Source organism: Homo sapiens, chromosome 11, assembly GCF_000001405.40.
Source record: "Homo sapiens chromosome 11, GRCh38.p14 Primary Assembly".
Classification (NCBI taxonomy): domain Eukaryota; kingdom Metazoa; phylum Chordata; class Mammalia; order Primates; family Hominidae; genus Homo; species Homo sapiens.
The window spans coordinates 72,846,127-72,872,841 of NC_000011.10; the positions used below are offsets into that span (position 1 = coordinate 72,846,127).

The following is a 26,715-nucleotide window of genomic DNA, read 5'->3' on the forward strand; positions in this document are numbered from 1 at the left end:
GCGCATATGTTTTCCCAGACTACTCATGATGAGTAAGCTGCTCCTCCTTTTGCTCTTTTTTTTTTTTTTTTTGAGACGGAGTCTCACAGTGTTGCCCAGGCTGGAGTGCAGTGGTGCCATCTCGGCTCACTGCAACCTCTGCCTCCCAGGTTCAAGAAATTCTCCTGCCTCAGCCTCCCAAGTAGCTGGGATTACAGGTGCACACCACCATGCCTGGCTAATTTTTTGTATTTTTAGTAGAGACGGGGTTTCACCATGTTGGTCAGGCTGGTCTCGAACTCCTGACCTCGCGATTCGCCCGCCTTGGCCCCGCAACGTGCTGGGATTACAGGCGTGAGCTACCGTGCCCAGCCCCCATTTTGTTCTTAAAAGGCTCTCTGAGCGTCCCCATAACACTGACTACCATGATGCTCTAATGAGTTTGTCCTTGTGAGCTTCCTACTAGAAATAATTAGGGACTACATTTCTTCTCACTTACCCCAACTAAAGACAGTGAGCAGTAAATGGTTATTAAATACACACATACTCTCATACTGTCTCCTTAAGTCCTAGTATCCAGTGACAACCAGAGCTCCGTTTCCACCAGTATCTCTCCAAATTTCCTGTATTTCTTTTAAAACAATATGTTTTTCCTGATTATATCATACATGTTCATCGTAGAAAAGCTGGAAAATATGCATAATTGAGCTCTTACGGTACATACAATTTGGTATCCTACCTTTTAATTTAATATTAGGACATAAGGGTTTCTTCTTATATAGAAAAACTCTTGATGAAAATTTCAGTAAGTTTCATAATATTATATGTTATGGCTATAGTATATGAATGTCTAGTTTAATTATTCTCATTGAACTGCCAAATTTAAATTTTTTTAAAATTTATTTTTTAGAGGCAGGGTCTCACTCTGTCACTCAGGCTGGAGTGCAGTGGTGTAATCATGGCTCACTGCAGCCTCGATCTCCTGGGCTCCAGTGATCCTCCTGCCTGAGCCTCCTGAATAGCTAGGACGATAGGCATGTGCCACCATGCTCAGCTAATTTTAAAATTTTTCTGTAGAGACCAGGTTTTTCTTTGTTGCCCAGGCTGGTCTCAAACTCCCGGCTTCAAGTGATCTTCTCGCTTTGGCCCCACAAAGTGTTGGGATTACAGGCATGAGCCATTGCATCCAGTCATGAGCTCTATTATCCTCACTGATGTCTCTATCAGAATGAGGTCAAGGGAAGGATTCATTTGTTCATGCCTTCCATCATTCAAGTATTCATTCCACAATTATTTACTAATGACCTACTACGTGCTGGGCATTGTCCTAGGGGCTGAAGACACACAGACAAGGTAAACATACAGAGACAAAACTTCTCCCTTCATGGACCTTTAGCGGGGAGTCAAAGAAATATGAAAACTAAGATTAAGTTTGGCTGGGCAGAAGTGCCATACATTATAAAGCAGTACTATATGAAAGGACATTTTTGTGTCCAAAACTTTTCTATATTATGATTTACTTCCTTAGGATGGATGCTAATAGGGTCAAAAGTTATGAACATTCTTAAGGCTTTTGACTCTAACCTTTTTTTTTTTTTTTTTTTTGAGACAGAGTCTCGCTCTGTCACCCAGGCTGGAGCGCAATGGTGCGATCTTGGCTCACTGCAACCTCCTCCTCCTGAGTTCAAGTGATTCTCCTGCCTCAGCCTCCCTAGTAGCTGAGATTACAGGCGCCCGCCACCACGCCCAGCTAATTTTTGTATTTTTAGTAGAGATGGGGTTTCACCATGTTGGTTGGGCCAGTCTTGAACTCCTAACCTCAGTGATCCACCTGCCTCATTTTCCCAAAATGTTGGGATTACAGGCGTGAGCCACCATTCCCGGCCAACTCTAACCATTAAATATAGTTTCTTTGTTCTCACCAGATTATTCGAGGCCTCCTTTTTGGTCTGGACTATAAGAATTATGATTAGGCTTAAAGTCAGTCCCTCTGTATCCTAATCTGTCCTCTAGAATATCTATACCATGACCAGGTTAGCTTCTTAAAAGTCCAATCTGATTTCAGGCCATCTAAGGATCTTCCTAGCCAGGATAAAAACCAAACCTCTAAGTCTGGTACCCAAGGCCCTTTACTATCTGACAACAAACACCTTTATGCACAGCCCCTCTGTTCTCCCACTCCTACACCACTGAATTTAACATTTCCTGAACACCCCACACTCTCATCACACTCTGTCTCTATACCTGCTGTTCTCTTTGCTTAGAAGGCTCTTTCCTCTCCCTACCTTCTCACTGCATCTAGAAAGGTCTTAAATCATGACCTACTTTAAATGCCACCTCATCTGTAAAATTTCTCCCAATGATCCAGGTAGAATTAGTGGCTCTACCTTTACTATAAATCTTTTCACACTTGTTCTATTTTCCAGTTTAATATTTAACCCTTCATAGATTGTCCATTCCTAGAGGGGAGAGATGTCATATTCATTCTGGCATCCCCCCAGTGTATCACATATTGGGCACTCTATATGTTTATTCAATGATTAACTGACTAAATAGATGTTCATAGTCTATTTAACGCAGGGATGTGCCTGGGATATGCCAACAGAGGGAATGTTGAATGAATGTGAACTGTTTAAAATCACTCAGACACTTAGGAATCTCTCTATTTAAGGAACTTAAATTTTAGTTCTGGGACGTTCAAGTAAATATAATGGGAGGTGGTATCAGGAAACAATTCCAATGCTAGTTTTATAATACCCTGTAATACCTTTCCAAGTATCTGAGAAGATGATTTTAAATTTTCAAAAGATTATCAAAACGATTTACATTGGAAAAAAATGCTAACACTTTCAATGAACAGGAAGTATTATGAATTTAAATATAAAATGAAAGGATGTTAAACTCAAAACAAGTCTGGGAATCACTGATATTGAGGTTACCAAACACTGCCACCTTTTGGCTACACAGGGATGTGGCGGAGGAGTGAATCTGGTGCATGACAGGTGGATTCTCTCTCCAGGACCTTCCCTTCTGATAGCCTTCCGCATTGCCCCTTCTCACACATGCCTCCACCAGAACAGGGGCAAGAGAAGATTCATGTATTCACGCCTCCCTTCCAACATTCATGTAGTCATCCCACAATTATCTACTGATGACCCACTATGGCTGGACATCGTCCTCGGGGCTGAAGACACACAGACAAGGTACACATACACAGACAAAATTTCTGCCTTCATGGACCTTTAGTGGAGCATCAAAGAAATATGAAAATAAATAAGATTAAGTTTGGCTGAGCAGAAGTGCTATATAATAAAAGAGGCAATGGGATAACAAGTAGTGACTGAGGAGTTGGTTATTTATTTAGGTGGTTATGGGTGACCTTAAGAAGGAACTATTTGAGCTGAGCTTCAATGAGGAGCAGGGGACAACCAACTGAGATTTGGGGAAAAAAAGAGTTCTAGGCAGACGGAGTAGCAAGTGAAAGACGTCAAGTCAGAGCCTAAACTCATCACCATTCTGTTATGTTGCCCCAATATTAACCTAATAACAATTTTATGCTAAGTACAGCTTGAGAGACTGGATGGATACAGTCATGTGTATCTTCAGAGTTAATCAGAATTTAATAACATTATGTTGGAGAAATACAAACCTTGTAGGAATAAACAACTTTGCAGGTGAGTGGATAATTTCTTAAGGTGCCAGAAGGGCTGGAACTGCTGTCATCGAAAACATCCATGTTATCTTCAAACTCTTCGCCTTCTTCTCTTTCGGTATCTGCATTAAGCTAAGAAAAATTAGAAACCATTGGCTAGTTTCCTTACTTCAAGAAAATGGTTGAAAGCCGGAAAAACACTTAAAACCTGATTGTTTCAAAATGTTAATTTGCCTTTTAACTCTGCATAGAAATGACTATCTTTCGCACTTACATTTTTCATGTTATGAAAGAATAGAGTTTTTTTTTTTTTTTTTTTTTTTGAGATGGAATTTCGCTCTTGTCACCCCGGCTGGACTGCAATGGCGTGATCTTGGCTCACTGCAACCTCGGCCTCCCAGGTTCAAGAATTCTCGTGCCTCAGTCTCCCGAATAGCTGGGATTACAGGCACCCACCACCACACCTGGCTAATTGTTTTGTATTTTTAGTAGAGATGGGGTTTCACCATGTTGGCCAGGCTGGTCTTGAACTCCTGGCCTCAAGTGATCCACTCACTTCGGCTTCCCAAAGTGCTGGTATTACAGGTGTGAGCCACTGCACCAGGCCTAGGACAGAGATTTTTTTTTATTTTATTTTTGAGACGGAGTCTCGCTCTGTTGCCAGGCTTGAGTGTAGTGGCGTGATCTCGGCTCACTGCAAGCTCTGCCTCCTCAGCCTCCCGAGTAGCTGGGACTACAGGTGCCCACCACCACGCCCGGCTAATTTTTTGTATTTTTAGTAGAGATGGGGTTTCACTGTGTTAGCCACGATGGTCTCGATCTCCTGACCTTGTGATCCACCCACCTCAGCCTCCCAAAGTGCTGGGATTACAGGTGTGAGCCACCGTGCCTGGCCAGGACAGAGATTTTTTTTAAATCAAGAAGGAAGTTTCTGTCAAATATGTAAGAAATATTTATCAGTATCCTTTCACTTTTCACTGTTAAGTACTGACTGACAAGGGCCTCTAAATTTTAACTGATCCTGTTAGTGAACATTAAAAAGGTTTCAGGCCAGGTGTGTGGTGGCTCACGCCTGTAATCCAAGCACTTTGGGAGGCCAAGGTAGGTGGATCACTTGAGGTCAGGAGTTTGAGACCAGCCTGGCCAACATGGTGAAACCTAACCCCATCTCTATTAAAAATAGAAAAAAAATATAGCCAGGCATGGTGGTGCATGCCTGAAGTCCCAGCTACTGCGAAGGCTGAGGCAAGAGAATTTCTTGAACCCAGGAGGTGGAGACTAAGTGAGCCAAGAAAGATTGCACCACTGCACTACAGCTGGGGCGACACAGCGTGACTCTGTCTCAAAAAAAAAAAAAAAAAAAAAAAGGTTGCTAAGTGCTACCAAGGATGTGGAGAACAGGATTTCATCTATGGCTGGTAGAAATGTGAATTCATACATCCTTTTGAAAAAACAACCTGTTCACTGAAATTAAAAACTAAACATACCATTGATCTAGCAATTCCGCTTTTATGAATACATCATGGGGAAATAAAAGCACCAAGGTGTAAGACTATGTATTTTAAGATGTTTACTGCAACACTGCCTGTAGTGACAAACGCCTCGACACAATCTATATGTCCATCAACAGGGGAATGTTTGAATGCACTCTGATGTATCCATATTATAGATTAATAACACTCATTAAAAATAAAGGTTGCCGGCCGGGTGAGGTGGCTCATTCCTGTAATCCCAGCACTTTGGGAGGCCGAGGTGGGCGGATCACAAGGACAGGAGATCGAGATCATCCTGGCTAACACGGTGAAACCCCATCTCTATTAACAAAAAAACAAAAAATTAGCCGGGCATGGTGGCATGCGCCTGTAGTCCCAGCTACTTGGGAGGCTGAGGCAGGAGAATTGCTTGAACCTGGGAGGCAGAGGTTGCAGTGAGCCGAGATTGTGCCACTGCACTCCGGCCTGGTGACAGAGCGAGACTCTGTCTCAAAACAAAACAAAAAATAGAAAACAAAACAAGAAAAAAAATAAAGTTCGTGAAGTATGTGAAAAAACACTCAATATCACTAAAGAAATGCAAATCAAAACCACAATGAGATACCATCTCACATCAGTCAGAGTGGCTTTTTTTTTTTTTTTTTGAGATAGGGTCTTGCTCTGTTATCCAGGCTGGAATGCAGTGACACAATCACGGTTCATTGCAGTGTCAACCTCCTGGGCTCAAGCAATCTTCCTGCCTCAGCCTCCCAAATAGATGGGACTATAGGTGTGCACCACCACACCTGGCTAATTTTTGTTTTTGGTGTTTTTTTTTTGGTAGATAAGGGGTTTCACCACGTTGCTTAGGCTGGTCTTGAACTCCTGGGTTCAAGTGATCCTCCCGCCTTGGCCTCCCAAATTGCTAAGATTATAGGAGTGAGCCATCATGCCTGGCTGAGAATGGCTATTATTTAAAAAGTCAAAAAATAACAGATGCTGGTGACGTTATGGAAAAAAGGGACGCTTATACACTGCTGGTGGGAGTATAAATTAGTTCAGCCACTGTGGAAAGCAGTGTGGCAATTCCTCAAAGAGCTAAAAACAGGACTACCATTCAACCCAGCAATCCCATTACTGGACACATACCCAAAGGTACATAAATCATTCTACTATAAAGACACATGGGCAGGAGTGGTGGCTCATGCCTGTAATCCCAGCACTTTGGAAGGCTAAAGTGGGTGGTGCCAAAATGGCGAAACCTTGTCTCTACTAAAAATACAAAAATTAGCCAGGCGTGGTGGTATGCCTATAATCCCAGCTATTCAGGAGGCTGAGGCACGAGAATTGCTTGAACCTGGGAGGTGAAGGTTGCAGTGAGTCAAGATTGTGCCAGTGCATTGCAGCCTGGGCAACAGAGCAAGATTGTCTTAAAAAAAAAAAAGACACATGCACACATGCACGTGTATATTCATTGCAGCACTATTTATACTAGCGAAGACATGAAATCAACCTAAATACTAATCAATGACAAGTTGAATAAAGAAAATGTGGTACATATATACCATGAAATACTAGGCAGCCACAAAAAAGAATGATGTCTTCTGTAGGAACATGGATGGAACTGGAGCCCATTATCCTTAACAAACTAATACAGGAAGAGAAAACCAAATACTGCATGTTCTCACTAATAAGTGGGAGCTAAATGATGAGCACTCATGGACACAAAGAGGGGAACAACAGACACTGGGGCCTACTTGAAGGCAGAAGGTGGGAGGAGGGAGAGGATTAGAAAAAATAACTATTGGGTACTAGGCTTAGTACCTGGGTAGTGAAACAATTTGTAAAACAAACCCCCATGACACGAGTTTACCTATATAACAAACCTGCACATGTACTCTTGCACTTAAAAGTTTTTTTAAAAATTGAGTTCGAGACTAGAAAGCCCAGAAATAAACCTTCACATACATGATTAAATGATTTTCAACAAGGATGCCAAGACCACTCAGTGGAGGAAAGGACAGTTTTTCAACAAATGTTGCTGGAAAAATTGGATACCCATATGCAAAAGAATGACATTGAAATCTCACCTTATACGATACACAGAAAAAATTAAATGGATCAAATACCTAAGCCTATGAAACTTTAAAAGAAAACACAGGGGAAACACTTTATGACACTGGATTTGGCAATGATTTTTTTGGAGACAGAGTCTCGCTCTGTTGCCCAGGCTGGAGTGTAGTGGCGCAATCTTGACTCACTGCAACCTCCGCCTGCCAGGTTCAAGCAATTCTCCTGCCTCAGCCTCCCAAGTAGCTGGGACTACAGGTGCATGCCACCACACCCGGCTAATCTTTTGTATTTTAGTAGAGATGGGGTTTTACCGTGTTGCCCAGGCTGGTCTCGAACTCCTGAGCTCAGGCAATCCCCCCACCTCAATGAGTTTTTTAAATATGATACCAAGAGCATAGGCAACAAAAGAAAAAAACAGATAAATTGAACCTTATCAAAATAAAAAATATGTATGCATCAAAGAACAATAGAGTGAAAAGACAACCCACAGAATGGGATAAGGTATTTGCAAGTTATGTATCTTAAAAGGGACTAATATCCAGAATATATAAAGAATCCCTAAAACTGACCATCAACAACAAATAATCCAATTAAAAATGGGCAAAAGATTTGAAGAGATATCTTTCCAAATAATTTATGTAAATAGCCAATAACCACATGAAAATATGCTCAACATCACTAATGATTAGGGAAATGCAAATCAAAACCACAATGAGATACCATTTCACACCCATTAGGATGCTGTTATATATATTTTTAAAAACCCAGAAAATAACAAGTGTTGACAAGGATGTGGAAAAATTGGAACTTTTATACACTGCTGGTAGGAATGTAAAATGGTACAGCTGCTATGGAAAAACAGTAACATGTTTCTTCAATAAATTAAACACAGAATTACCACATAATTCAGCAATGCCATTTTGGGTATATACCCAAAAGAACTGAAAGCACAGACTTGAACAGATATTTGTAAACAAATGTTCACAGCCACATTATTCACAAAAGGTAGAAGCAACTCAAATGTCCATTGAGAGATGAATGGATAAGTAAAATGTATGTATATACCACAAACCAAATAAAAATGTGGTATACATACATACGATGGAATATTATTCTCTGTCTGTCTACCTATCTGTCTATCTGGTTAGAGACAGGGTCTCGCTCTGCTGCCCAAGCTGGAGTGCAATGGTGCGATCATAGCTCATTGCAGCTTTGAACTCCTGGATGCAAGGGATCCTCCTACTTCAGCCCCCCGAGTAGCCGGGACTACAGGAACATGCCACCATGCCCAGTTTATTCAGTCTTAAAAAGGAGGGAAATTTTGACACATGCTACATATGACATGGGTGATCTTTGAGGCCATTATGCTAAGTGGAATAACCCAGTCACAAAAAGATAAAATACTCTGATTCTACTTATTTGAGGTATGCAGAGTAGTCAAATTCATAGAGACAGAAAGCAGAATGGTGATTGTCAGAGGCTGCATGATGGGGAGTTATTGCTTAATGGCCAGAAAGTTTTACTTTTGCTAGATGAAAAGAATACTAGAAATGGGCCAGGCACGGTGGCTCATGCCTGTAATCCCAGCACTTTGGGAGGCCGAGGCAGGCAGATCACGTAAGGTCAGGAGTTCGAGACCAGCCTGGCCAACATGGTGAAACCCTATCTCTACTAAAAATACAAAAATTAGGCCAGGCACGGTGGCTCACACCTGTAATCCCTGCACTTTGGGAGGCCGAGGCAGGCAGTTCACCTGAGGTCGGGAGTTCGAAACCAGTCTGACCAACATGGAGAAACCCTGTCTCTACTAAAAATACAAAATTAGCCGGGTGTGGTGGCGCATGCCTATAACCCCAGCTACTCAGGAGGCTGAGTCAGGAGAATCGCTTGAACCTGGGAGGCGGAGGTTGCTGTGAGCTGAGATCGTGCCATTGTACTCCAGCTTGCCTGGGCAACAAGAGCAAAACTCCGTCTCAAAAACAAACAAACAAACAAACAAACAAACAAACAAAAAAGACCAAAAAGTTGCTGGGTGTGGTGGCAGGTGCCTGTAATCCCAGCTGCTCAGGAGGCTGAGGCAGGAGAATCACTTGAACCCGGGAGGCGGAGGTTGCAGTGAGCCAAGATCATGCCACTGTACTCCAGCCTGGGTGACAGAGTGAGACTCCATCTCAAAAAAAAAAGAGTTCTGGAGATGGATGGATGGTGGGGATGGTTCCACAATGATGTGAATGTACTTAATGCCACTAAACTTACACTTAAAGTGGTAAATTTGTATATTTTACCATACACACGAACAAACGTGAAAAGCACACTCTCTTCTGAAATGTAACACAAGGAGAATAATTTTTTAACCCAGTTTCAAGGTATATTACCCATCATAGCTAAAAGGCATTTATTAATTGAAATGGCATTGAGTGTAAAAAATGAGTTAGATCCACAGGCACTTACCTAGAGCACTGTCCGTGATATAGTGAATATAAATAATATTTATATGAGCATACGTATCTGACAGGGGAAGGCAGAATGAGAAGAATAAAGACTGGAGAATAGAGGAAATGACTGACTTGCTTTTTATATACATCTATACTCTTTGAACTATTAGAATATGCACGTTTTACTTTTTAAATTAAAAACCTAATAAAGAAGAGACAAACAGCCTCAAATATTTGTTTCTTGCCCGCTACACCCAAGCACTTATTTGGCTGCTTTTTCCCATATTCAAACATACAAAAGCACCAATGTTTACACATTTAAGGTTACAAAGAATGGACAGGCAGGATTGGCCTTCATAGGAGAGCCATTACATTAATTAATTAAAGTATCAAATATCTACTGTATGTAGAAAACTACGCTAGCCTCTTTGATGGATAGAAAACGAAGGACACAGTGTCTCCTTCCAGTGGTTCACAATCTAGAGTGAAGGATACTAAAAGGAGAGGCCAAGTGCATGGCCCTGGGAATGCGGAAGAGGCCACTGGAGAGAAGTCAGGATATGATGAGTCCAAAAGTACAGGCTGCCTAGCTGTCAAGTTCTACTTTTTCATGAATTAAATGGCTTTCTCTTGAGTAATTATCACTGAAGTTTTAAAACTGACTCTCCTCTTAACCACTGTTTGCCTAATACAATTCTATAGCACTGTATACATGTATCAAAATGTCCTTCTGTATCCCATAAATATGTATAAATATTATGTGTCAAATAAAAATAAAAGGGAAAAGATTACACAGAATTGTGGAGAGTTCCAGAATAATAAATTATATATTTTTCCTGACATATTTATTGCCACCATTTCAAAGCTGCTGAAATATTCTCATTGATAACTTTACTGAAAATTCTCCACAGCTGAGTGAGGAAATCCTGTGCTATCTCTTACAAATTATTCATCTATCATCAGTCAGTTCGGTGGCAAAACAGTCTCACATGATACTGAGTCTTTTGCCACTCACTAGTTAGGAGCATAATATTCAGAATCACAGACTTATGATTCTATTGTTTTCCAACAGGGCATTGTGCCACATAAAAGAATCATGCTAGAAATTGCCATAAAATTAACTTGAAATGTATTATATATACTTAGAAGACATTGCCTTCATATTCTAGGAAAGTTTACAGGCATTTAAAAAAACAGTGGGTATTACAAAAATCAAAACAAAACACAACACCCATACATTTATAAAAATGTGGGTAGAACAAGTTTCCAAAAATATACATGTACTGTGCTTTGACACTGGGAATCAATCCAAAACATTTTATCTTGGCAACCCGGTTGATACTAAACATTCCTTTTTTCCTCCTTTATTTGGAGTTGATTTTTGGATTCCCATGGAAGGCAGTAAGAAGGCTGCAGTGCCAGCAATAGCGGTCACTGTCATATGCTTCTGCATTGCTCTAGCTGCTTTCCAAAGCATGTCATCTCAGAATAATTTCTTCCTTTTTCCTCTTCCACTCTCTTAACTGAACTGTTACACTGTTTTCTTGACCCAGCATTTCTAAAATCACATGCTTCCTCTGTCTCTTAAGGACTGCTCTCTCCTTTTCTTCTTGTCACTTGACAGAACTTCAATCAAAACTATTCTTTCTAGCCATACTAACGTTTACCCTTTCTTAGATGTTGTAAAATGCTTACTCCTTTTTTTTTTTTTTTTTTTTGAGATGGAGTTTCACTCTTGTCGCCCAGGCTGGAGTGCAATGGTGTGATCTCGGCTCATTGCAACCTCTGCCTCTTGGGTTCAAGCGATTCTCCTGCCTCAGCCTCCGGAGTAGCTGGGACTACAGGTGTGTGCCACCATGCCCAGCTAATTTTTGTATTTTTTTTTTTTTTTAGTAGAGACGGGGGTTTCACTATGTTGGCCAGGCTGGTCTTGAACTCGTGACCTCAGATGATCCACCTGCCTCGGCCTTCCAAAGTGCTTGGATTACAGGCATGAGCCACCGCGCCCGGCCAAAATGCTTACTCTTATTGCAGAGGCAGGAAAGATGATCTTTTTGAGTTGGTTTTGGGAGCCATCTTCTTGTACTCATTAAAAACACCTCTGAGGGGCTCAGCTTCATGGCACAATCATGAGGTAGAAAGCAGGGTCTTGGGGTCTGGCCAACTTGGGTTTGAATGTTGACTATGTCACTTACTTGTTGTGTGACCTTGGGCAAATTAACTCCTCAATTTCAATGACCTCGTCTCTCTAATGAAGACAGTTACTTCTTCACAGGGTTAGCATAAAGATTAAATGAAGTAAAATATTTAAAACCCCTAACACATGTTTGGTGCATAGGAGGTACTTAATAAAGCATTAGCTTTTGTTTTTACGAGGAAGGGAGAATCCAGATAAAGAATCTGGTAATACCTAATACAGAGGAAGACAGCTCCTCAATATTTACTAATAGAATCTCTCAACTCCACTGGACAGAGAAGTAATCACAGTGGACATCACTCCAAATACAACATGAGTAAGTTATCAAAGATGATGTTAACCAAAGGAATATAAATCATTCTATTATAAAGACACATGCACATGCATGTTCATTGCAGCACTATTCACAATAGCAAAGAAATGAAATAAACCTAAATGCCCATCAATGGTAGACTGGATAAAGAAAATGTGGTACATATACACCATGGAATACTATGCAGCCATAAAGAAGAATGAGATCATGTCCTTTGGAGGGACATGGATAGAGCTGGAGGCCATTATCCTTAGCAAACTAACACAGGAACAGAAGACCAAATACCGCAAATTCTCATTTGTAAGTGGAAGCTAAATGATTAGAACATGGACACATAGAGGGGATCAACAGACACTGGGGCCTTTCGGAGGGTAGAGGGTGGAAGGAGGGAGAGGATCAGGAAAAATAACTAATGGGTATGAGGCTTAACACCTGGGTGATGAAATAATCTGTACAACCCCCCCATGACACAAGTTTACCTATGTAACAAACCTGCAATTATATCCCTGAACTTAAAATAAAAGTTAAGAAAAAGATGATGCTAAAAATATCAGGAAAATGGATTTGTGCTTCCAGGCAAGATGGAGTATCAGGGATCAGATTTAACCTCCTGTCAGAAACAACTGAAAAACTGTTCAAAATATATGAAAGAACAGTTTTCAAGACACTGGGCATCACTCATGAAGGACAGTGATCCCTGGGGGATGGGAAACAAACAAACTCCTACAACATACTGTATGAAGAAAGTTTTTAGGTTATGACATAGGGAGAAGAAACCCAGGCACATGATGGTGACCTCCCTGAACAGAGGAGATGAAACTGGGAATTTAGTAAAGCCAAAGTGGAGAGAGCTCAGGATGCGGAGTATAGCAGTCTCCCCTTATGTGTGGTTTGGCTTTCCATGGTGCCAGTTACCCAGTCAACCATGATCTGAAAATATTAAGTGGAAAGTTCCAGAAATAAACAATTCATAAGTTTTAAATTGTGTGCCATTCTGAGTAGCCTGATGACATTTTAGTGTTTCAGTCTGTCTCCCCAGATGTGAATCACCCCTTTGTCGAGTATATGCAAGCTATGTAAGCTACTTGTCCATTAGTCATTTAGTGGCCATCTCGGTTATCCCAATTGACTGTCACCATATCACGGTGCTTGTGTTCAAGTAGCCCTTATTTTACTTAATACTGGCCCCAAAGCACTACAGTAGTGCTGCTGGCCTATTGTTATAGTATTCTATTTTATTACTAGTTAGTGTTGTTAATCTCTTACTGTGCCTCATATATAAATTAGCTTTATGATAGATATGTATGTATAGGGAAAAACACAGTATACATAAGGTTCGGTACTATCTGTGACTTCAGGCATGCACTGGAGGTCTTGAAATATATCCCCCACAGATAAGGGGGGACTGTAATGAAGAAGAGAGAGATGCGCAGAACTTAGGAAATCTGCAGAGGGTCCTCCTCAAGACTTTGGCTGAGTATTGGTCAGTACATATATGTGAAGAAATTACCCAAAGCTAGGGCTAGAAGCACTAAAAAGGATTAGGAAAAATAATCCTCAGAACTCACACAGGTCTGAGAATAACTCCTGCTCCCTCCTAAAAGAGTAAAAACTTCATAAGGCACAGGGCACCCAGTAGAGTATTAACATTAGTAAGGATACAGAACAGCTGTCCCCAATCTTTTAGGCACCAGGAACCAGTTTCATGGAAGACAATTTTTCCATGGACTGGACCCTTGGGGTACCATGAGGGAAGGTTTCAGGATGAAACTGTTCCATCTCAGATCATCAGGTATTAGATTCTCATAAGGAGGGTCCAACCTAGATCCCTTACATGTGAAGTTCACAATAGGGTTTATGCTTCTCTGAGAATCTAATGCTGCCTGCTGGTCTGACAGGACGCAGAGCTCAAGCAGTAATGCTCCCTCTCTGGCCACTCACCTCCTGCTGTGTGGCTCAGTTCCTAACAGGCCATGGACCGGTAAAAGGTTCGTTCCAGTCTAGAAGACTAGAACAATACTATAACCAACCTGACTTAATTGACATTTATAGAACATAACCCCTAACAATAGCAAAATATACATTCTTTTTTTTAAGAACACATGTAACAGTTACCAAGATATACGTTTATACTGGGTTACAAAACAAAGCTCAAAAAGTTTAAAAGGGTTCAAGTATGTTATTTGACTACAATGGAAATAAACTAGAAATAAAAAACAAAAAGCTATCTGGAAAAATCTCCAAATATTTGGAAATTCAGTAACACACTTTTAATTACCCATCAGTCAAAAGAAGAAATTAAAACATAAATTAGAGGCCAGGTGCAGTGGCTCACTCCTATAATCCTACCACTTTGGGAGGCTGAGGTGGGTGAATCGCTAGAGCTCAGGAGTTCTAGACCAGCGTGGGCAACATAGTGAGACCCCATCTCTACTAAATATACAAAATTTAGCTGGGCGTGGTGGTGCTGGGAGGCTGAGGCATAAGAATCACCTGGGAGGAGGAGGTTGCCGTCAGCTGAGATTGCATCACTGCACTCCAGCCTGAGTGACAGAGCAAGACTCTGTTTGAAAAAAAAAAAAATGTAAATTAGAAAATATTTTGAACTGGATAAAAATGATGACACAACATACCAGAATTTGTGCAATGGACCTAAAGCAATACTTACAGGGAAATGTTTAGCACTTAATGCCAATATTCAAAAAGAAGAAAACTCTCAAATCAATGACCTCAGTTTCTATCTTACAAATTAGAAAGGAGAAAATTAAATCCAAATTGAACAGAAGAAAAGAAATAATAAAATCCTGAGTAGAAATCAAGAAAATAGAAAAGAGAAAAACGAGGGAAAAATCAATAAAATCAAAAGCTGATTCTTCATAGAGATCCATATAATTAATAAACCTCTAGCAGAATGATCAGAAGAGAGGAGACATGACCAATATCAGGAATGAGGTGATATCTCTACTAATTTTCCAGATAATCAAAGGATAAAGGAATATTATAAACAACTTTGTGCCAATAAATCTGACAACTTAGATGGAATGGACAAATTCCTTAAAAGAGACAACTTACCAAAGTTCACTCAGAAGAATAACCTTAATAACCCTGTATCTACTAAAGAAATGGAGTCTATTATTTAAAAACTTCCAAAAAAAAAAAAAAACTCCAGGACCAGATAACAGCCCTGGTAAATTCCACTAAACATTTCAGGAAGACGAAATTCCATACAATTCTACACAAGGCTTCCAGAAACTTGAAGAGGAGAGGATACTTTTCAAATCATTTGGAGACAAGCATTGTAACAAAACCAGACAAGAATACTACAAGGAAATGAATGGAGATGGAAGCATGCTTATCAGAGTCCTAGCAAACCAGTTCCAATCAATATATAGAAAGGATAGGCCGGGCGCGCTGGCTCATGCCTGTAATCCCAGCACTCTGGGAGGCTGAGGCGGGTGGAGCAACTGAGGTCGGGAGTTCAAGACCAACCTGACCGACATAGAGAAACCCTATCTCTACTAAAAAAATATAAAATTAGCCAGGCATGGTGGCATATGCCTATAATCCCAGCTACTTGGGAGGCTGAAGCAGAAGAATCGCTTGAACCTGGGAGGTGGAGGTTGCGGTGAGCTGAGATCATGCCATTGCACTCCAGCCTGGGCAACAAAAGCGAAACGCCGTCTCAAAAAAAAAAAAAAAAAAGATAATATATCATTACCCAAGTGGGGTTTACCAGGAATGTGAAGCTGGTTTAATATCTGAATAATCATCAATGCAATTACACCATATTAGCAGACTAAAAAAGAACCATTTGACAAGATCCAACATCCATTTCTATTAGCAAACAAAATAGAAACAGAAGAAACTTCTTTAACATGATAAAGGGCATCTACAAAAACCCTACTGCTAACTTCATACTTAATGGTGAAAGACTGAATGCATTCTTGCTAAAAGTTCAAGAACAAGGCAAGGATTTCTGTTGACTCTCACCACTTCTATTCAGCAATTTTATAGTAAGAAGGAAAAAGGAATCCAAATAGGAAAGGAATAAGTAAAACTGTCTTTATTTGCAGGTGACACGGTTATATAGAAAATCCTATGGATTTACAAAAAAGCTACTAGAACTAATAAGTGAGTTTAGCAAGATTGCAGGATATAAGATCAATATACAACAATCAACTGTATTTTTATGGATCAGCAATGAACAATTGGAAACTGAAATTTAAAAAATCATTTACAATAGCACCAAAATTATGAAATAGGGGTAAGTCTGACAAAGGATATGCAAGATCTATCTACTGAAAACTACAAAACATTGCTGAGAGAAATTAAAGTCCTAAATAAATGGAGAAGTATATTATGTTCATGGATTGGAAAACTGAATATTGTTAACATGGCAATGTTATCTTCCAGTTGATCTATGCAGTCATCATAATCCTAATAAAAATCCTGATAGGCTTTTTGGGGTAGAAAACCAATTTTAAATTCATATGGACATGCAAAGGACCTAGAATACCCAAAACAACTTTGATAAAGAAGAAAGTTGGAGGACTTACACTACCTGAAGTCATGACTTATTATAAAATTACAGTAATTAAGTCAGTGCAATACCGGCATCAAGCTGGACAAACAGATCAATAGAACAGAACAAAATGTCAAGAAACAGACCCATACATATATGATTAATTTTTTTTTTAAAGAGACTTGCTCTGTTTCCCAGGTTGGAGTGCAGTAGCACAATCATAGTTCGCTGTAACCTTGAACTTCTGGGTTCAAGATACCTTCTTGCTTTAGCCTCCTGAGTAGCTAGGACCGCAGGAATGTACCACAATGCCTGGCTAGTTGAAATTTTTTTTTTTCTTTTTTTAGAGACAGGGTCTACTATGTTGCTCAGGCTGGTCTCAAACTCCTGGCCAGAAGTGATCCTCCCACTCAGCCCAATGTGTTGGGATTACAGGCATAAGCCACTGTGGCAGGCCTGAATAACTGATTTTTGACAATGATGCAAAGGCAATTCAGTGGCGAAAGGACAGTTAAAAAAAAAAGTTCAAAAAAGGGACAAAGAACTCTGACTTATTCTGTTTACCATAATAAAAGATAAGCTCATGCTGAATTACAGATTTAAATGTAAAACCTAAAACTATAAAACTTCCAGAAGAAAACCTAGGAGAAAATCTTTATGACCTTGGTTTTAGGCAAAGATTTCTTAGCTACCACACCAAAAATATGATCCATAAAAGAAAAATTGGTAGGTTGGACTTCATTAAAATTAAAAATTTGTGCTCTTTGAAAGGTATTAAGGAAATAAAAAAATAAGCCACAGACTAGAAGAAAATTGCATAAATCAAATATCTGATAAAGGATTTGTATTCAGAGTATAAACTCTTAAAATGCAATAAAAATAAAACAAACCCAATAAAAATTAAACAAAGATTTGAACAGACACTTCACCAAAGAAAATATACAGATGCAAATAAACATATGAAAAGATGATCAACATTATCAGAGAAATGGAAATTAAAATGACAATGATTTACAACATCACACCTATTAGAATGTCTAAAGTTAAAAAGACTGACTATAGTAAGTACTGATAAGGTTGTGGAACAACTGAAACACTAGTACCCCGTTGATGTAATTGTAAAATGGTATAACCACTTTGGAAAACAGTTTGTCAGTTTCTTAAAATGTTAAATATATACCTATTATATGACCCAGCCAAAGCATATGATCTTAGCAGTTTTAGAAACTCCTTATCTTACCCTTATCTCCAACATCATTATTAAGCATGGTTCTCACAACAACCAAAGTCAGAATTTATTTATATGCAACTCTGCAGATGTTCATACTCTAAGTGAGGCTGTACAACAGAGTAGACTGGCAGTTTGCCCTTGCACATTAGTTGGGGAAAGTGGCTGAAAACGGGGAAGTGATGTTAACATTGTGGGCTATAGTTTGAAAATGTAAGCAATAAAAGAACAGGGTGGGCATAGTGGCTCATAAATAAAAGATTAGAAAAAATAAAAATATGGACTGGGTGTGGTGGCTCATGCCTGTAATCCCAGCACTTTGGGAGGCCAACGTGGGCGGACTGCTTGATCCTAGGAGTTTGAGACTAGCCTGGGCAACATGGTGAAAAATACAAAAATTAGCTGGGCATGGGGGCATGAGCCTGTAGTCCCAGCTACTCAGGAGGCTGAGGCAGGAGGATCCATTGAGCCCCAAAGGTTGAGACTGCAGTGAGCCATCAACAGCACCACTGCACTCCAGCCTGGGCGATAGAGGGAGACCATCTCCAAACAAACAAAAATACACATTATGTTGTACACCATAAATATATACAATTGTTTGTCAATTAAAAAATAAATAAATAAGAGTAAGGAAATACACCAAATTGCTAGCTGTGCTATTATAAGGATGGAGCTATTAATCATTTTCTTCTGTATTGTATTTTCCAATTTTTTGGTAATCTGCTTATATAACTTCTTCTATTGCAGAATTAATATAATATCAAAAGTCAGGTTGTCATCTTGGTATGGCTTTTGAATAAGAGAAGCAGGATGATAAGAGAAGGGAGGCTGAGTGACACAGGCTGATGGGGTTGCTGGCAGCAATCTAACAGGGGAAGCTGCATGCAGGCTCCAGACACCTGCAACTGAGTAACTGTGTCAGTGGACTGTTCTCCTTTAAAAACAACGTTGCTATACTCTGGGATTCCTTTTTTCCAATCTTACATTCTGTACTATAGCATGATACAGAAGGCAGAGTTAATACCCAAGTAAGTATAGTTCCTTCCTTATTCTATAAGGGAGTAGTCTGTGTCTTTTTAAAACATTTATCTTCCACAAGGCACTTTTCAGTTGCACTATTAATGTCTAACAGTAGTATTAATCATGTTTTCCAGATGACGAATGCTTTTGTTGGCAGCTGTAATGGAAGAAATAATTTAGCCTCTAGAATGTGCATTTCTGCTTCATGTTCCTCAGCCAGCTAGCTGTCAGTATGAAGAGATACAACCCCCTCTAAATAATTTCAGTGCTGTTACTTAAAAGCAGATTAAATAAATATAGGTCCTCATTAAGCTATTTTGTGCCTATGTCTCTCCTTTATTTATATTATTAGATCTTCCACAAAATGTAATCTCTCAGTTGAAAGATGCAGGCTCCATAAGAGTGATGAGGGGGAAGAAAAACGTCGGATGGAATTGCAAAATGCTCCCTTCACAGAGGATATGTATGTCTCTAGAGGAGTGATTTCTCTGGACAGGTCTCAAAAATACTCATTTATTCAATGCTTACTACTACTGTACTAGGCACAGCTCCTTCATTCCCTTCCTTCACAACGAGAACAGCCCTTCTTCTTTATCTCCTGTTAAAATTCTTCAAAGACTATCTCAAATGACATATCCTCCATGGGGCACACTTTCTTCCCTATTCTTCTAGCTGATATTGAGCTTTTCTGATAGTATTTCAAAGAATCATGAGATTCTGGAGTTGGTGGGGGTGGGGAGTGGGAATCTCAGAGTCTTTTAATCTTTCTTTCAGAAACCCAAGAGAAGTGACTTTTTCCAAGGTGTGCAGATGAGTTAGAAGTAAGCAATCTCAAGTGTGCTACACAGTAGTCCAGTCATACACTGCCATGTATCATTAAGATCTATGAAGATCTGTCTGGTCTCCTAGCTTGTAAATTCTATGAGGAGGGAGACCAAGTTTTGTTCATCTTCAGTTTGCCCAGGAAGTAAGTACAAAGTTAGATGGTATGTGCCTGCTCAGTTCAAAGTCAGATGGTATATGGCCCCTCAATTGATTTGGTTAGAAAAGGTGCTAGCTGAAGGAAAATCATGGGTTTGATTGGTTGGAAACAGTCCTGCTGTAGAAGCCCAAATCAAGTGGGCCTGGAATTTGCTGTCATCAAAAACTCTACAACAGTCTGAAGTAGATGAGCATTATGACTTTTAGAAAGTGCAATAGTAGGAGATATTCCATGAGATGGAGCAACTCTGTTCTGTTTTTTGTTTTGTTTTGTTTTTTTTGTTTTTTGAGACAGAGTTTCACTCTTGTCACCCAGGCTGGAGTGCAATGGCATGATTTTGGCTCCCTGCAACCTCTGCCTCCCGGGTTCAAGCGATTCTTCTGTCTCAGTCTCCTGAGTAGCTGGGATTATGGGCGTCTGCCACCATGCCTGGCTAATTTTTGTATTTTTAGTAGAGACAGCGTTTCACCATGTTGGCCAGGCTGGTCTCGAACTCCTGACCTCAGGTGATCCATCTGCCTTGGCCTCCCAAAGTGCTGGGATTACAGGTGTGAATCACCATGCACGGCCAGAGCAACTCTGTTCTAATAACAACTGGGGAAGTGCTTACAACCCCAAAGTCAAGTGGGTGATGTTTCTTTTTCCCTCTAGCTGGATTAACATTAATAGTTAAATGAAAATAAAGCTTCAATAGATTGTTTTTCCTTAAAATGTAGACCCACACACAACCCTTTTTAAATGTGCAAGTGTATTCTCATTAGAAAATTAGAATGCTATGTGAAAAAATTGACAAAACTTCCAAGAATGTTGAAAAATTTTCGTCAGTTTCGCTAGCAAGCCTGCCTGATATCTGAAGAGCACAAGCATTTAAAGAGGCACTATGAAGACAGTGGGAAGTTGGGAGGTTAGAGTTTTAGCTTTTAGTTTGCCACTATTCCAACTAGCCACTCACCCATCCAACCATTCACTCCTTCCTTCAAAAATATTTAAGTACCAACTATGTGTCAGGCACTTTGCTGTGCAGAGCAGAGAACCAGGAAGATATGGCAATTACATTCTAGAGAGGAAGACAACAATAAACAAAAGAAAACAAATAAAGAAGGCAAGTTCAAACTGTAATAAATACCATTGAGGAAATAAACAGGATGACAGAGAGTAATGGGTGGGGAGGTGACAGTAGGAATTACATTAGTCTGACTAGCAAGGCATCACATATCCAGCTATGTAATATCAGGCAAATCAACCGAATTTTTCTGGTACTTAGATCTCCAACATGAAAAACTAAGGTTGAACCAGATGACATCAGAGTAGAAAAAGCCCTGGACTTGAAGTAAGGAGACTTAAGCTGTGTCCTGGCCTTGTCTGTAAAACTCACCTACACTCTCTCTATGTGAGGAGAATATGAAAGCTGTCAAGAATTGAAGTCACCTTCAGACTAAGCCCACGTACTAAGAAGAACATTCCTTTCACTTAAGATTTTGTGCAAATCTCTGGATGTTTATTTTCATTTTCACTAAAGAAGACCTCTGAGAACTTCAGAGACACTAGATTGTTTTCTATTCTATTACTTCCAGACACGAAGCATATTTACTCTATGAATGGGATGAGTTTGGTAGATAGGCATCGATAACCCAAATAGTGATAACATATTCTTCATCATACATTAAAAAAAACACTCATTTTTTCCTCTCTTTCACTTCCCGCAATAATTTTAAATCAATTAGTGATAGGCTGAAGAATAAAACCTAAATCACTAGCAAACTATTATCTTTTTAAAAAATTTTGGCTATTATTAAGTTTGACTACAGAGTCAAAGCATGCTTCAGTGAAAATCAACTTGTCATATCCAAGAAAAGAAATCGTACCGAGTGTAAAGTGCCATTACTGGTCACTGCAGGAGGGCGGGCCCATCGCTCATTTTCCAGTTCTTCCATTACTTGGTTCATGGCACTCTTTAGCCATGTGTCCACAGAAACACCAATCTGCTTTAGCAGGTCCAACCGGGCTTCAGCTTTCAATTTAATTATCTAGAGAACCAAGAAAATGGTCGGAAATCAAGGCTTTTATTATTCACAATAGCAAAGATAAGGAATCAACCCAAATGCCCATCAATGATCGACTGGATAAAGAAAATGTGGTACATATACACCATGGAATACTATGCAGCCATAAAAAGGACAGAGATCATATCCTTTGCAGGGACATGAATGCAGCTGCAAGCCATTATCCTCAGCAAACTAAGGCAGGAACAGAAAACCAAACACTCCATGTTCTCACTTGTAAGTGGGAGCTGAACAATGAGAACATACGGACACATGAGTGGGGGAGAACAACACACACTGGGGCCTGTCAGAGGGCGATGGGTGGGGAAGGAGAGCATTAAAAAGAATAGCTAATGGAGCTGGGCTTAATAGCTAGGTGATGGGTTGATCTGTGCAGCAAACCACCATGGCACACATACCAGGATTACTTTTGCACCACCCTAATAACAAACCCGCACATCCTGCACACGTATCCGGGAACTTAAAAGTTGAAAAAAAAATTAGCTAGGCATGGTATCATGGGCCTGTAGTCCCAGCTACTTGGGAGCCTAAGGTGGGAGGATCACTTGAACCCAGGAAGGGGAAGTTGCAGTGAGGGGAGATCGCACCACTACACTCCCGCCTGGGTGACAGAGCAAGACTCTGTTAAAAACAAACAAACAAACAAACAAACAAACAAACCAAGAAACTATATAACCGTCATGAAAGGAAATTACTTAAAAGGAAAAAAAATCATACATGATCCTATCAGTCTTACATGGCAAATATTCTCAAGGCTTTGTCCACATGCAGACATATTTTTGCACAACTGTATTCTTGGTGGCAATGCAGCTTAGCTTTTACTTTTTAAGTTACCTTTTTTTTTTAAATTTTTTATTTTTTTGAGATGGAGTCTCACTCTGTCACCCAGGCTGGAGTGCAGTGGTATGATCTTGGCTCACTGCAACCTTCACCTCCTGGGTTCAAGCAATTCTCCTGCCTCAGCCTCCCAAGTAGCTGGGATTACAGGTGTGTACCACCACACCCGGCTAATTTTTGTATTTTTAGTAGAGGCGGGGTTTTGCCAAGTTGGCCAGGCTGGTGTCGAACTCCTGACCTCAGGTGATCCACCTGCTTCAGCCTCCCAAAGTGCTGGGATTACAGGCATGAGCCACCTCACCCAGCCAAGTTACCATTTATTATAAACTTCTTGTTTATATCCCTATCAAAAAAAGGAAATCAAGGCTTTTTTCCCTCAAATTAATTAAGTTCTTCCTAATCGATTAATTACAACAATCTTGATATTCACTAGCAATTCTTCCCTGGCACAGATGCTAATTTTTCACTTGAAGCAGGGCAAGAGAAGGGGAAAGGGAGGGGAGATAGTGAAGAAGGGAAAGAGAGGGTTGGGGGGAGGGAAGAAGAGAGAGAGAGAGACAGAGGCAGAGAGACAGAGAACATGAACAAAAGAAAGGAATCAGGGTCTCCTAACAATGGAATACTTGCTTTTTTTTTTTTTTAATAAAAGTATGGAATGCTTCACGAATTTGTGTGTCATCCTTGCATAGGGGCCATGCTAATCTTCTCTGCATCATTTCAATTTTAGTATATGTGATGCTGAAGTGAGCACATACTTGCATTTTGACAAGGGCATGGTATTGATGATAGATCAAATATAACTTGTGAAGAGGAAGAGATCAAGAGTGATAAAGTCTGTTTCCTTTTCCTGTTCATAATGCTATGCCTCAGAACACCCTGAAATCCAGCATTTTCAGTAGCCTTCTAACCCATTTCCTGGACTTTTTCTCCTCTGTAATCCATCTTTTACAGTCTGTGAATGACCTCATCATGTTGCTCCCCAGTTTAAAAACTTTCATAACTCCTGACTGTCTACTGAGTAAAGAATTAACTAATTCTTAACTAGGAATAAAAAATATCTTTCACAGTTTGGCTGAGTTATTTCCTTCTACTGTTTCTTTCCACACCCCCCTATGCTCCCACCCCACTGTCCCACTTGCTGTTCCTCTGATCCATCATGTGCTTGCGTGCCTGTGTGCGTGCCAGTCCCTCTGTAAAGGCCTTCTCATTGCTTTTTGATGCCTGGTGAGTGCTTATCTTTTGACGGTCCGTTCAAATATTACCCTTTCCACAAAGATTTTTCTAAGTATTTCTCAACCTTCCTTAGGCAGTTAATAATTCCTTTTTCTCTGCTCCTAAAGCACTCTATATAGATCTAATTACAATGTGATAGGCACGAAATTATACTTAGCTATTTAACTAAGTATGCCTGTTTGATATAATTGGGGGCTCCTTTAAGACTCGAGCATTGACATTCAGCGTTATTCTCCTGTTATGTGTTCAGTAACCTTTTTTGAATAAATATCCTATATAACTGTGCTTCTACTTTTCCAAGAAAAGACTGAATAGGCTCTACCAATTCTTTCAAGATTGGCTCTACCAATCTTGAAAGACTGCCATTCAATGATATTGAGTTATAAACTACTGTGTCTCTTTAATAATAATAATTTTTAATATAAAAGAACTTCTCTCTAACAATTCTAACATTCTTCAGCACAAGCTTAAAGAATTCCCCCTTTGGGCCAGGTGCGGTGGCTCACGCCTGTAATCCCAGCACTTTGGGAAGCCGAGGGGGGCAGATCACGAGGTCAGGAGATCGATACCATCCTGGTTAACACAGTGAAACCCTGTCTCTACTAAAAATACAAAAAATTAGCTGGGCGTGGTGGCGGGTGCCTGTAGTCCCAGCTACTCGGGAGGCTGAGGCAGGAGAATGGCGTGAACCCAGGAGGCGGAGCTTTCAGTGAGCCGAGATTGCGCCACTGCACTACAGCCTGGGTGACAGTGCGAGACTCCGTCTCAAAAAAAAAAAAAAAAAAAAAAGAATTCCCCCTTTGACTTGGCTGCCTTTATTGACTAACTTGTTTGTTGACTAACAGTAATGTCTTTGCTTTTAAACTACATTTATGATGTGGCTGGCAGAAATAGCAGAGATTGAGAATAAAAAGTTCCTATTCTCCAAATTCAAGAAAGGGAATAACTGCTTATTCTTTAGCCCTTGTTCCATAAACCATAAACAAGTAACCACAGAACTAGTTTTAAACCCCTCCCGATCAGAAAGTAACTGCTGCTTTGCTCCAACAGCCATGCCTCTGAAAGTCAGCTAATCTGTGACAGCTTCTGCTTCTACTAGTCCTCCAAACTCTAAAAACCAAGGCTGAAAGTGAGCCAACCCCTTAAACATTCCTAGTTTTGAAAATCTGCCAATCCCTGACATTCAAGCTTCTCAAAACCCTATATATCAACTCTTGCTTTGTTCAGAGTCAATGTGTTTTGTGTCATTCTCTTTTGCTTAGCAAGTAAAACATTCAGCCTCTTTTGCTTAGCAAGTAATGCATTCAGCTTCATTGTTTCACATATGCAAGTGGTGATCTCTTCCTTAACATTTAAGGTTCCACTAAGCTAATTTTAGGTTAAGTAAGGTTCCACTTACTTAACCTAAGTAAAGTTCCACTCTCACTTGGTGGCTTTCTGTGGGACTCTTGGACAAACAAGTTGGAGCTGGTGCAGTGGCTTGTACCTGGAGTCCAAGCTACTCAGGAGACTGAGGAGGCAGGCTCACTTGAGTCCAGGAGTTTGAGGCTGCAGTGAGCTATGATCATGCCTGTGAATAGATAGCCACTGCACTCCAGTGACAAATACCTTTGGTACATAATTTTTTTTTTTTTTTTTTTTAGAGCCAGAGTGGTTGCTCTTTTGCCCAGGCTGCTCTTGAACTCCTGAGCTCAAGCAATCCTCCTATCTTGGCCTGCAAAAGTGTTGGGATTACAGGTGTGAACTGCTGTGCCCAACAGGTACATAATTTTGATTTCCCTCCGAATTCTCTGCTTGGGGAGTTGATATCAAAAACAATTTATGTTCTGACTTGTATCACTGGGCTTTCTTTGCTGAATTAATTTTTTTTATATTAACGTTTTTAAGCAAATAGATTTTTATAAAAATTGAGGTAAAACATTACATAAAATTTACTATCTGCACCATTTTAAAGTATACAATACAATGGTTTGGGGTATCATATACGTCTTTATATAAGACAATTGGAATTTTTGGCTTAGAGGCACTCCAATTGGTAAATACTCTTGCAAAAATCTGCTTATTCTTTTCATAATTTCTTTTTTTGGTAAAACTTTATTGACATATAGCTCAGGTGACAAAGACCTTTTGGCACACAACTTTTTTTTTCTTTTCTTTTTTTTTTTTTTTTTTAGAACCACACAATTCACTCATTTCAAGTCTGAAATTCAGTGGCTTACAGTATATTCATAGTACATGCAACCATCACCACAGTCAAATTTAGAATATTTTATCACCTCCAAAAGAAACCATGTACCATTTACCTATTGTTCTCCAGCCCCCTATTCCCTGCAGTCTTGACAATCACTATTCTACTTTCTGTCTATAAAGATTTGCCTATTCCAGACATTTAACACATATGAAACAATATAATACATGGTCTTTTATGACTAACTTCTCTCACTTTGCATAATATTTTCAAGATTCATCTATGTTGTAACATGTATCAGTATTTCATTTTTTTAATGGCCAAATAACATTCTATTGTATGGATATACATTAGAATGTTTATCCATTTGTCAGTTGGGAGTCATTTAGGTTGTTTCTATTTCTTGGCTATTATGAATAATATTGCTATAAACGTGTGTGTATAAATTTTAGTGTGGACATGTTTTCACTTCTTTTGGGTTTATATGTAGGGCTGGCATTGCTGGATCATGAAGTAATGCT

General features: G+C 39.8%; 1 protein-coding gene and 1 pseudogene across 5 annotated transcripts in view, besides 1 other annotated feature; both read right to left on the reverse strand.

Moving 5' to 3' along the window:
- The window catches only part of FCHSD2 (FCH and double SH3 domains 2), a 305,574-nt gene that overhangs the window by 9,382 nt on the left and 269,477 nt on the right, over positions 1-26,715 (reverse strand). For all 5 annotated transcript variants that reach the window (NM_014824.3, XM_011545409.2, XM_011545410.3 and 2 more), the window contains 2 exons: positions 21,739-21,900; positions 3,629-3,763 (listed from right to left, as the gene is read on the reverse strand). In NM_014824.3, the coding sequence (NP_055639.2) occupies positions 3,629-3,763; positions 21,739-21,900 (297 nt within the window). The remainder of the gene's footprint in view (positions 1-3,628; positions 3,764-21,738; positions 21,901-26,715) is intronic.
- Positions 2,772-3,273: an enhancer, noted in NCBI's record as "NANOG hESC enhancer chr11:72559943-72560444 (GRCh37/hg19 assembly coordinates)". NCBI's record gives its function as "activates a minimal SCP1, AML or CMV promoter by ChIP-STARR-seq in naive H9 embryonic stem cells {active_cell/tissue: H9 hESC(naive)}" and the evidence as "EXISTENCE:reporter gene assay evidence [ECO:0000049][PMID:30033119]".
- Positions 23,418-23,524, reverse strand: RNU6-672P (RNA, U6 small nuclear 672, pseudogene; annotated as a pseudogene).